The sequence below is a fragment of the Homo sapiens genome, chromosome 17 (assembly GCF_000001405.40).
Source record: "Homo sapiens chromosome 17, GRCh38.p14 Primary Assembly".
Taxonomy (NCBI): domain Eukaryota; kingdom Metazoa; phylum Chordata; class Mammalia; order Primates; family Hominidae; genus Homo; species Homo sapiens.
The window spans coordinates 10,188,537-10,201,448 of record NC_000017.11 but is presented as its reverse complement, the minus strand read 5'-3'; the positions used below and the strand labels follow the sequence as shown (position 1 = coordinate 10,201,448).

The following is a 12,912-nucleotide window of genomic DNA, read 5'->3' as shown; positions in this document are numbered from 1 at the left end:
CTGACATTGGGTATCACCAGAGAGTCTTTTCTTTTCTTTTCTTTTCTTTTTTCTGAGATGGAGTCTTGCTCTGTCGCCAGGCTGGAGTACAGTGGCGTGATCTCGGCTCACTGCAACCTCCACCTTCCAGGTTCAAGCGATTCTCCTGCCTCAGCCTCCTGAGTAGCTGGGATTACAGGCACGCGGCACCACACCTAGCTAATTTTTGTATTTTTAGTAAAGATGGGGTTTCACCATGTTGGCCAGACTGGTCTCAATCTGCTGGCCTCGTGATCCGCCCGCCTTGGCCTCCCAAAGTGTGGGGATTACAGGCATAAGCTCTCACAGGCTGTGCCCAGCCTAGAGAACTTTCTCTTAAGATGCTATTTGTGGGTGAGTCACTAGGATACCTGCTTTCTGACTGGCAGGGGGGACGACAGAAAGCAACACCAGTGTACAATAAGCTAGAATTGAGTTCAAAGCTGATTCTGCTGTTGACCAGCTGTATGATGGTGAGCAAGTCACACTCTTTGAGCCCAGTTTCTTTACCTGAAAACTGGGACAACAGTCACCTCATCAGCTCGTAGGATTACAGGAATGAAATGAATTAAGTGGAGAAATTAACAGCTATTATCATTTTTGGTTGCTGCAGGAATGTTTGAGGTGGGTCAGGTAGAACTCAAGTGTATGGCATGCTGTGTAGGCTGCGATTTCTCAAGTCCAAACTGGATCACAGTTCCTCACGGGCATGCAGAGAATTAGGGTTGCAGGATGGCTGGAAATCAGTTGTCCTACCTTGATTCAGGCCACATCATCAGGAATGAAGCCTCAGAACAGCCTGCTGGAAGTCACATATTTTCCTGATACAAGGAATTGTATCTCTTTTAAAACTTCATTGGGCCAGCTATTTTTAATGACTGTTTTTGATATGAAGTTATGCAGCTCCGCTTTAAGGGACTCTTAGTGGTGACTGTGGTCAAGAGTTTGTTTCTTTATATTTCCGGCCAAGCGAATGTTCAAGACTTTGCAATTGATGGACTATTACAAATAATCTGCTTGTGTCACTTTGCCCATGGCCAGAGAACAGATGGAGGCTGCTCAGGTGAGATGGCTTAGCTGCAGACTAGGGCTCAGTAGTGACTCTTAAAACCTGGGCATGAGTATTTTTAAAAAGTTGCATAATGACTGTAATGTGCAGCCAGGATTGAGAACCATTGAACTAGGTGAAAGGCTCTGTGCCAGGGTCTGATTCAAAGCATAGACAGGTGCGCAAGATCTTCAGGCTCTTGGAGCCCGGCCTGACTGGTTTTGTAATGGATATCTAGGCAGTCATAGTAAGAGGTGAAGCTAGAGGAGGCGTTGTGGAGGGCCTGAAATGTACAGGCAGAGAAGTTTGTACCAAATTTAAAAGGCAATAGGGAGCCACAGAAGGTGACTGGGGGAGGGGGGAAGGAGTAGACAGAGGTATACAGGCGTATTAAAGGGTCCAGCTTTTTTTTTTTTTGAGACGGAGTTTCACCCTTGTTACCCAGGCTGGAATGCAGTGGTATGATCTCCGCCCACTGCAACTTCCACCTCCCGGGTTCAAGCCATTCTCCTGCCTCAGCCTCCTGAGTAGCTGGGATTACAGGCACCCGCCACCACGCCCGGCTAATTTTTGTATTTTTAGTGGAGATGGGGTTTCACCTTGTTGGCCAGGCTGGTCTTGAACTCCTGACCTCAAGTGAGCCATTCGCCTCAGCCTCCCAAAGTGCTGGGATTACAGGCGTGAGCCACCGCGCCTGGCCGAGTCCAGCTATTTACAGGCTAAAAAATGTACTTTATTTTATTTCTTTAAAATTTTTTATGGAGTAGACTAGCAAAGAAACCAAGCTTTCTTTTACTTCTGTACGGTCAGTTCAAGGTCAACATTCTGCAGCACTCAGGTTCACTGGTCCCTGGAGAGCAGGGACTGGCCCAAATGATGTTTGTAGTACCTGGCACATCGCATGGAACATGGCAGCCTCCTGGTAATGTTTGTTGACTGACTACATGAGTGTAGACTCTTTAGCCAACCCATCTCGATTTCGGGAGGGCTGGTACCCTGGGCCGGCCTTCCCTCTGCAAGTAAAAGCATTGGTGCTGTTCCTCTCACCGTTCGCCTTTCCTCCATTTATCCCCATCGACTGTTTCCAATTCTATCAACTCCGACCCCGTCTTCTCTCCATTCCGTCCCTCCAGCGTGCCACGCTGCCACCAGGCTGCTGGGCTCAGGCGCCAGGCTTCAAACCTGTCTTTCACCCATTGTTCAGTTTCCGGTGAGACAAGTTCAACCCCAGGTTCAACCACTACAATGACAACCACAAACGATCCCTCGCAGACACCTCGAAGAAGCCGCCCGCACGCCACGGGCCGCCAGGCCTACAAAGCAGGCACAGAACAGAGGGGCGTTTCCATTCCCGCGGTCCCCGGCGGTGGGGGCGCGAGTGGGAGCCCCTCTCCCCAGTGACAGGCCCCTCTGCGAGGGAGCGCGCAGCCCTCCGCGGGCGTGGCCGCCCTGGCCCCGCCCCGGCCCGCCCCCTCGCCAGTGAGCTAACCCCCGCCCGGCCACCCGGCCGCCAGCTCCTCTCCACGGCCGCCCGCCGCGGAGTCCTGCCGCGGGGGATGCTCCGGGTCCCACCTCCCGGGGGAGCTGCGCATTTCCGCGCGCCAGGGCGGCCCCGGCCCCGGTCCCGGCCCCGGCCCCGGCCAGCCCTCGCGGCGGCAGCCCGCGTTCCGCGTTCCCGGGAAGTTGTCTCCGGAGCCCGCGGCGCCTGGGTCTCCTCCCCCTGAGCCCCGCCCCCCAGCCCAGAGCTAGGATCCGCGAGCTGCCCGGCCCGGGGGCGTCGCCGCTCGCTCTGCGAAGCCAACGAGTCTCTGCTTCCCGGCGCGGAGCGCGCGTCCCCCGCCTGCCTGAGGACCCCCGCGCACCCCAGAGACGGCGCGCGCCCAGAGCGCGGGAGCCCGGAGCGCCGGGCGCCTGGGACCCCGCGGAGCCGCTGCCCAGCCCGTGGGGCTCGGCGGGAATGCAGGCTGCGCTGTGAACCCGGGCGCCAAGGCCATGTCCGGCGCTCGCTGCCGGACCCTGTACCCCTTCTCCGGGGAGCGGCACGGCCAGGGGCTGCGCTTCGCCGCGGGCGAGCTGATCACGCTGCTGCAGGTCCCGGACGGCGGCTGGTGGGAAGGCGAGAAGGAGGACGGGCTCCGTGGCTGGTTCCCGGCGAGCTACGTGCAGTTGCTGGAGGTAAGGGGCGAGGGCCGGGGCTGTAGGAGCCGGGGCTGCGGTCCTCGGTGCGCTCGCGTACCTGTTGCCCGTTCCGGGGATGCCGCAGCGTCCCGGTCGGAGGGGCGCCCCGGGGGGCAGCCCTTGCCGGCGCTACCTGTAGCTCCACGCTCCTGGGGGGCAGCGACGGCAGCGGGCGCCCCTCGGGGCGTGGGCAACGCGGACTCGCGGGGAGCTTCCACCTTGCGCCGGGCCTCCGGAGCACACCGTGGCTGCTCTGAGGAAGCGAGAACTTGTTGCCTGTGTGAGTTAAGGAGCAGGCGGGAGCGTTCCCGGCAGTGGCAGGGGCCGGTGAAGGGTCTGGCGGTCTTGGGAAGAGGCACGGAGGATCAGGGGTGCGAGAAAGTGGCACCGACTCGGTCCCGCAGCCCCGCGTCTCCACCCCGGAGTCTAGAGCCTGATGACCCGTGGACGGTCGTGCTGCCTTGGGTCAGGCTGCCTGGCCGCCTCGGGACCACCCACTTGCTGGTCAGCCGAGCCTGCTGGCCACCAGCCCGAGCCCCCTCAGCAGGCTTGATCCTGGGGTGCCGTAGCACCCCCCGCCACTGCCTGCTCCCCTGGTCCAGCTCCCCGAGGCTAAGGCTCAGAACCCGAAAGTGGCTTGTTCCTGGGGTTCTGGCCTGGCCCCAGGGCTGCACAGGACCTGCTGAGGCAAGGCGGCTGGCTGTTTATTGTCTATGTGACAGGCTGTCCTCTAATCACTGAGCTCGCAGTCACAGCCTGAGTGAGACCCGAAGTTTCTAAAGTCCTTTGTGTGTGGGGGGGTGACCTTCCAGGACATCCCCTTTACTAGAAGCCCGCCTGCCCCCAGGATTCTTGTAAAGACTAAATTAACAGTTACCTTCAATGGTGTCAGTATTCCTAAACATTCTGGTAAAACACTGCCGGAAGAAATCATGGAGGCTGAATTTATTTATTATTTAACTCTTGACCTACTTCACAGAGAAAGTAGCAAATTTTGACTGAGAATGCTCAGTGCAATTCATCGGGGGCGGGGGGAAGAAAGAAAGAAGTGAAATGGTTACAGGGTGAGTCCGCCTGAGGATGTATCCTGTGGCAACATTGTCAGCAAGAGCCTGGCCTTATAAAAGTACATTAGATTGCTTTCAGGTCCAGAGAACAACAAAATCTCTCCTAAAGGCATCAGTAGCATTTGAGCAAAGTTTAGGGGCTGCTGGAATGAGCTTTCATGGGCTGTCAGCAGAGTATGTTGCAGGAACCCTCTTGGTTCTGTATCTGGAGAATCCGGAGATACCCTACTTGTAGGAGAGGCTCAGGTGTGCCCTGCCCTGGCTTTTCCAGTTCCTTTCCCGAGATTCGGATGTAAAAGAAAGCGAACGTATTGCTTCTTACATGAGAAGCAAGGGGCCTCCTTGTTTCTAGCTTGAAGCCCTGGGATAGATACGTATTTTGGGAGTTCTTCGGGTGGTCACCCTTTTCCAGGAAATTCTGATGTGGAAATTTGGCTGATGGATGTCTGTCCGGTGAGGAGCATCCCTGGCTGGACTGAGCCAGCTGTGTTTTGTGTAGGGGTGAGGCTGGGTAGGTGTTAGTTAGCAAGAGTGGAGTGCTGCTTTTTCTTCCGGGAAAGGGACGATGGACCAGGGCCAGGGGACAAGCGGAATTAACAACTGGGACAGTTTTGGGTGTGTCTGTCCCATCCTCTGGCATATACAAAGGTAAGAGATCTCTGGTGTCTCAGGGCCTCTCAGACCATTCCTGACTAGTAACTTGCAACAGAAGCATCCATCTGCGTGAGCAATACTTCTGAGCACCTGCTTGGCACAGTGTGTGCACGTTATCACCAGTTCCCTGACAGCTCTGTGAAGGGTGAGGTACTTCCCCCATTTTATAGACAAGCAAGCTGAATATGAGAGAGGCGAAGTCAGCTCCCCAACTAGTAATGCTTGCGTGTTTTGTTAGCAGCTCAGATGACTGAGTATCACCCCCTGCGCCTGTGCCTTTTTTAAACATGATAGCCCGGGCTCAACTATGCCAAACAGCGTGTGAGCGAAGGGTCTGGATCCATGGGGAAAAGGGGCATGCGCAGCCCCTGAGGTCAGCATGTTGGTGACAGCACCGCGAAGGGGAGGCTGAACCTCTAGGGCTAAAACGAGGACAGCTGCATCCAGGAGCAACTTGGAGGATCTTCCCTGCTAACCCCAAAGTGTGACTTTACTCAGAACCAGCTGGGGGTCTTCCCACAGTGGGCCCGAGTCCTGTATCCTAAGTACTGGGTGGGACTCTTCTCAGGGCCAAAGCAGATGCAGTTTCAACAGGGGGGCATGTGGGTCAGGTGCTTGGCATCTGGGAACCTCCTACATGAGCAAGTTGGACCTCAAGGCTGAAGGCTAGGTAGAGATAGAGGACATGCAAGCAGAGTTGCTTGGGATGGGGTGAGTCCTGAAGGGCAGACTCAGAGAATGCAGAGGTCCCCAGGCTGGTGGGTAGACTGGCCAGCATCTGGACTCATGAGACTAGAGAGGGGGCCCATAGATACTGGAGATGGCGAACCTCATGAGATGTCAGCCAATGTGGTGCTGTCACTCAGCTTGCTTGGGAGCATGGAGTTCAGAAGGCCAGGGCAGCTGTTGGAGAAACAAGTACAGACAGATGGACTGTACTAGCCTCCTGGCCTAGGGATGGGATTGTGGGTACACAGATGAATATGGCATCTCTAATGTGCTCCCTACTCCAGCGGAACTTTCACCCTGATAGAAAGAGTGATACTAGGAAACCCCATCTTGGTGGAGGGGAGGGAGGCACTGAATACTGTGTGCACACTGGATACTTCCCAAGGAGATCTTCCTTGTTCAGATGAAGCAAGGGGAACCGAGAGACCCAGCCTTTGCAGGAAGCATACACGGGGGAGGGGAGTTGGGAGCTAACTCCAAGAGAGTCACCAGATCTGACCCAGTGGCCAGCTAGCCCTTGGGAGGAGGCCAGCTTGGAGGAGGTCTTGGTTTTTGGGGCAATCTCTTTGGTCAAGACTCCAAGGAAATGGTATAGCACATACTTGGCTTCCAGAGAGCAGCTTCCAGGAAAACCTCAGCACAGGCAGGGAAGTGTAGAGGTCTCTGGTAGGCCCAAGGACTCTGGCCACAAGGGTTCTTCCTACTCGGGGTGGTGCAGCTCTTCAAAGGATGGGCAGAGGGAAACACCTACCTCCAGAAAAGGAATAGGCCTTACAGCCAAGGCCCACAGCTGGTTATTAGATAAAATCAACTAGAAAAATCTTTCCTGAGGGTTTCTTCTGCTATGACGAGGGACAGGAATTAAGAAGTCTTTTTTTTTTTTTTTTTTTTTTTTTGAGACAGAGTCTCGCACTGTTGCTCAGGCTGGAGTGCAGTTGTATTTTGAGTAGAGGTGAGGTTTCGCCGTGTTAGCCAGCATGGTCTCGATCTCCTCACCTTGTGATCCACCCGCCTCGGCCTCCCAAAGTGCTGGGATTACAGGCGTGAGCCACTGTGCCCGGCCGAGAAGTCTTTTTAACATCATTTGAGAGATATGGTAGAGGAAGAGACCTGAGACCAGAGATAGGAGCTGTGGGAGCATGTTCTGCCAGCTCCAAGCTAGGCCTGAGATTGCCTCCATAGACCTGGGAACCCCACATGTGGGAATATTTCCACCAGCTTTCTAGGGTACATCAAGGCTGAGAAATAGCTCCTGGGGAAGGTGGATAGAGAATCCTAGATCTCCATCCTGGGGAAAATTTGGAGAGAAAGACATGGTACCAGGACAAGCCCAGTGGCTGGACAGGTCAGTGGTTGGAGGGTTTAATAGGGTCCAGGAATTCCTGTGGCCTGTACTTTCCTTGAATGGAGAGAAGAAATTAGGGACCTGGGGAATGTTGTAAGGCATCTACAAAACTTCCCAGAGCTTTTGGGAAATAATTCTGGGGGACAATGGGATTGGAATGCAAACAAAATAGAGCTTTCTTTGAACTAGGTGGTATTCTTAGAATCCAGGATCTGGCTGGATAATCTGGACCTTTTCTCTTTCCTAAAAAGAGCCTTTTCCTTTCTTTCTGGGTTACTAACAGAATATGACACTGTTTGCTGGCACAACTAGAATGGCTGCTGAGGGTCACCGTTAAACTTGATTTTCTTCACTCTACCCTTTGTTCTCCCATTTTGGGTTCATGCAGTTGTGCTGCAGGAGTTGATAAGGAGTGTCTGTGGGAGAGAGTGGGCTGTGCTATGGATAATTAAGGAATGATGTTTTATCTATTGCCATGTAACAAGCCACTCCAAGATTTAGTGTTTCAAAGCAACAATTTCTTATTATCTGGCATGGTTTTGTGGATTGACGGGGCTCAGCTGGGTGGTTCTTCTGCTGGTCTGTCTCAGTGTCTCTCATGCAGTTGCAATCAGATGGTGGCTGGGGCAGAGTCTTGGAGGCTCAACTAGACTGCAGCCTCCAAAATGTCATCTTCACTCACCTGTCTGGTGCTTTGATGTTCTTCCATGTGGCGCCTTTCTCCATGTAGTGTTTCATTCTCCAGGGCCTTTCCACATGGCCTTTCTCTTCAGGAGTTATGTGGTAGCTGGCTTCTAAGAATGCAAAGGCATACATTGCCAGGCCCTCTTAAGGTCTGGGCCCAGAACTGGCATATCGTTTCTGCCACATTCTATTGGGAAAGTAGTCACAGGTCTGTCCAGAGTCAATTTGGAAGGGAGGTGGGTACAGGTGCGGTTATGAGGGAGGCGTGGTTCATCGAGGGCCATATTGCAGACTAGCTCCCTCAGAAGGCTAGGGAGAACATACATGGGACAGATGATCCATTAGTGAGGAGGTAGTGCTGGGCCAGACTGATGAGAGAGAGAACCCCAAGAGGGAGGTAAAATGCAGAGACTTGGCAGTTCTACCTCTATCGCAATCCTTGGAGGGTTTTTTTTTTTTTTTTTTGACTCTAGAGGTTTCTTTCTAAAGGCCACATGATAAACGATGCAGCTGGAATTTGAAATCAGATTTGCCTGGCTCTGGGCCTGTCCACTAAGCCATTGACATACCAGTCCAGCTTTTTTTAGGCCAGGGCTGTTCAGTGCTGATGATTCATAGACATAGTGGATCTGAGCTCCCTGACATCTAATAGATGTTTGCTATATTACACAAATTGATTTTAATACAGAGCCTTTTCCTTTCTTTCTGCAACATGAAAATCACCCAAAATGAGTGTGACCTTGTCCCTCATGCTAGTATTTTTCAGTCAGTCATCAACTCTGTTCACAAAAGGTGCAATTAGGGCTTGTGGCTCGGAGGGGTGGGTAATTGTGACTGAAAAGACCAGCGTGCTTTCTGACATCTTCACTAAATCACCCTCCTCCTTGGTATGGGGGCTGTGGCCAGTATTTGTAGCTCCTGGTGTTAGAAAATGACCTTTGGCCCACCACTCTGTCAGCCTCAGCTCAGAAGGAACCACCTCTTTTGTCACACTTGTGTGCTGGACTGGTCAGTGGCTACCCCACAGGACTTTAAAGCAATGAGCAAGGCTTATGGATTGAGTGGATTCAGGGCATTTTCACAAAAGTTCCCTTAGCAACAAGTCGGCGGGAATCCCTGACATCTGTTCACCGCTCTGTGGATCCCTGATGTCTGTTACCACCTAGAAACATGAATGAGAGGCTGACCTTCACGTACTCTTCTCAGTCTGGAAAAGCCCAGCTTTTTTCTGATGGTGTGGTAGACCTTGTCTGTGAACACGGATACTGATCCTCACTTCGCTGGTGAAAGAAAATGTTTTTTGGTAAACCAGGAAACCTTGTGTACATGTAAGGTATTTTGACTATTATCAGGCCAGCCCAGGGGACTGTGCTGTCTTATTACTCACAGCAGCAAGGCGACACATGACAGGCTTTCTAACAAAATGTCAGGAGGGATTCCTCTGTACTTAAATGCAAAATTAGTATATTTCTCTGTCTCCCTGCAATGGCGAGGCTTCTGGGGTGGTATTTATGCCTATGGCGAGAAGAAGAAGTGGCGGCTGGCAGATCTCTCTGGCTTTTCCTTGGCTGACCAGAACATGTTGTGACGTTGTGAAAGTTTAGTTGCAGTAGGTATATGAACTGTGAGAAGTTTTTGAGGAGTCTTAAGAGGATCCACCCACCTCCTTTCTTCACGTTTTCTGTCTTCCCTACCATCTTTAAGAATTTGTTTTTAGTTTAACTTCCTAGTTCTCCGTCTACTACTCTTCTTGAGCTTGGAGCTGGTTTTCAGATTCAACCTCTAGGTACTCAAATTTCATATGTCAAAACTAAACTCATCATCTCTCTCCTCTTTTTTTTTTTTTTTTTTGAGATGGAGTCTTGCTTTGTTGCCCAGGCTGGAGTGCAGTGGCGTGATCTCGGCTCACTACAACCTCCGCCTCCTGGGTTCAAGTGATTCTCCTGCCTCAGCCTCCTGAGTAGCTGTGATTACAGGCTTCCACCACCATGCCTGGCTAATTTTTGTATTTTTAGTAGAGGTGGGGTTTCACCAGGTTGGCCAGGCTGGTCTCGAACTCCTGACTTTGTGATTCACCCGCCTCAGCCTCCCAAAGTGCTGGGATTACAGGCGTGAGCCACCGTGCCCAGCCCTCTCTCCTCTCCTTACTGCCTTTTTTTTTTTTTTTTTTGACACAGGGTCTTGCTCTGTTGCCCAGGCTGGAGTATAGTGGCATGATCATGGCTCACTGCTGCCTTGACCTCCTGGGCTCAAACGATCCTCCAAGTAGCTTGGACTATAGGCACCTGCCACCATGCCTGGCTAATTTTTGTATTTTTTGTAGAGACAGGGTTTCACCATGTTTCTCAGACTGGTCTCAAACTCTTGGGCTCAAGTGATCCTCCCACCTTGGCCTCCCAAAGTGCTGAGATTACAGGCATGAGCCACCGTGCCCAGCCTCTTCACTGCCTTCTGTTCCCAACCTCTAAACCAAGCTTGTGGAACATGTGGCCCAGGATGGCCTTTGAATGGGGCCCAACACAAATTTGGAAACTTTCTTTTTTTTTTTTTGAGACGGAGTTCCGCTCTCGTTGCCCAGGCTGGAGTACAATGGCGTGATCTCGGCTCACTGTAACCTCTGCCTCCTGGGTTCTAGCGATCCTCCTACCTCAGCCTCCTGGGTAGCTGGGATTACGGGCATGCGCCACCACACCCGGCTAGTTTTGTATTTTTAGTAGAGATGGGATTTCTCCATGTTGGTCAGTCTGGTCTTGAACTTCCCACCTCAGGTGATCCACCTGCCTTGGCCTCCCAAAGTGCTGGGATTACAGGCGTGAACCACCGTGCCTGTTCTTAGGTTTGTAAACTTTCTTAAAACATGAGGGTTTTTTTTTTTTGTGAGATATATATTTTTTAGCTCATCAGCTATAGTAGCGTTAGTGTATTTTATGTGAGGCCCAATATAATTTTTCTTCTTTCAGTGTGGCCCAGGGAAGCCAAAAGATTGGACACCCCTGCTCTAAACTTTAGTGAATGTCACCACCATCTGTCCACCAAGTTCCCTGATATCTCTCCCCTTACCTTTCCTCTCCTGTTCAGTAGGCTAGCAAGCCTCGTCCCTTCCCTTCTTCCTTAGAAGCATTTCTTTTTTTCTTTTTTTTTTTTTTGAGACGGAGTCTTGCTCTGTCGCTCAGGCTGGAGTGTAAAGGCACGATCTTGGCTCACTGCAACCTCCACCTCCTGGGTTCAAGCGATTCTCCTGCCTCAGCCTCCTGAGTAGCTATTACAGGCACGCACCACCACGCCCGGCTAATTTTTGTATTTTTAATAGAGATGGGGTTTCACCACGCTGGTCAGGCTGGACTCAAACTCCTGACCTCATGATCCGCCCGCCTTGGCCTCCCAAAGTGCTAGGGTTACAGGCATGAGCCACTGCGCCCGGCCAGAAACATTTCTTAAAGCCTTCTCCTTCTTAACTTGCGTTGGCAAATCTTTCTGTAAAAGGCCAGGAAACATTTTAGGCTGTGTGGGCCATGAGGCAAAACTGAGTTACGGCTGCATCGGTGTGATCTGTAGTGCGCCAGAGGCAGTGACAAGCAGTGAGAGCATCCCATATGGTCTCTGTCACAACTAATCCACTCTGCTGCTGTAGTGCAAAAGCAGCCAGAGATAATCCGAAAGCCAATGGGCGTGCCTGTGTTCCAATAAAACTTTATTTATGGACTGAAATTTGAATTTGTTATAATTTTCATGGGCCGTGAAGTATTATTCTTCTTTTGATTTGTTTTCAACTTTTTTTTTTTTTTGGGAGATGGAATCTTGCTCTGTTGCCCAGGCTGAAGTGCAGTGGTGTGATCTCGGCTCACTGCAGCCTCTACCTCCTGGGTTCAAATGATTTTCATGCCTCAGCTTCCCAAGTAGTTGGGACTATAGGCACCCGCCACCACAGCCGGCTAATTTTTGTATTTTTAGTAGAGATAGGGTTTTGCCATGTTGGCCAGGCTGGTCTCCAACTCCTGGCCTCAAGTGATCCACCCTCCTTGGCCTCCCAAAGTGCTGGGATTACAGGCTTGAGCCACTGTGCCCAGCCAGCCATGTGACTATTTGGGGGAAAATAATTTGAGGCTGAGGGGGACTGCAGATGTACATAACCCTGAGTAGAGGAGTGTGTTTGATAAACCTGGGAGAGCCAGAATATTCCAGAATGGTTAGAGTGGCAAGTAGGGGGAGAGGGGTTGGGGGTGTGCCGGGGAAGGAGATAGAACCTGGGGAGATGGGTCATTTTCTAAATGCAGTGGAAAAGCCTTTGGTTTGATTGAAGTGGGTGGCATCTTCGGATGCGTTCTGGAAAGCTCTTCTAGACTGCAGGGTGGAGAATGGATTTGAAGAAAACAGGGAGGGGAGGCAAGGAGACCAGTTGGGAAGCTCAGAGCAGGGTGGTGGAAGTGGAGATGGTGAGAGGTGTGTGGATTTGGAATGTATGTTGCAGCTAGTGTCAACAGGTCTTGCTGGTGTGTTGATCGGAGGGAGTAAGGGAACCTCAGGGGGTCTCACTTCTTGCAGGTCACTTGTAATGCACTTTTTCCCTTTTGTATTTTCCCCATCTGTCCATCCTTTATTCTGCCACTAGAAATCTCTTCCCAAAAAAAAGGAGGTAAAAGGCAAATACAAATTTGGAAAAAGTTCCTTAATGTAGAAAGTGCTTTTATAAATTAAAACAACAAAACCCAAAACAAAGAGGAACATATCAGTATAAGAATGGGCAAGGAACTTGGATAGACACTTCATAATAAAACATATACAGGCTGGGCATGGTGGCTCATGCCTATAATCCCAGCACTTTGGGAGGTTAAGGTGGGCAGATTGTTTGAGCCCAGGAGTTCAAGACCAGCCTGGGCAACATGGGGAAACCCAAATTTTTTCTCTATAAATACAAAAAAATTAGCTGGGTGTGATGGTTCATGCCTGTAGCCCCAGCTACTCAGGAGGCTCAGGTGGGAGGATCGCTTGAACCCGGGAGGTCAAAGCTGCAGTGAGCCAAGACTGCACCACTGCACTCTAGCCTGAGTGAAAGCGTGAGACTCTGTCTCTTAAAACAAATGAACACACACACACACAAAACCATATAAAAAGTCCTCAACTATTTAGTCTCGCCAGTGATTGAATAATTGCAAATTTAATTAAAAAACAGCTTGAAGACAGAAATATGT

General features: G+C 51.3%; 1 protein-coding gene across 1 annotated transcript in view; it reads left to right on the top strand.

The window, feature by feature from the left end:
* GAS7 (growth arrest specific 7) overlaps positions 2,843 to 12,912 on the top strand; it is a 288,001-nt gene continuing 277,931 nt past the window's right edge. The window contains exon 1 of the mRNA NM_201433.2: positions 2,843 to 3,241. Coding sequence (NP_958839.1) covers positions 3,059 to 3,241 — 183 coding nt within the window. The 5' untranslated portion in view covers positions 2,843 to 3,058. The remainder of the gene's footprint in view (positions 3,242 to 12,912) is intronic.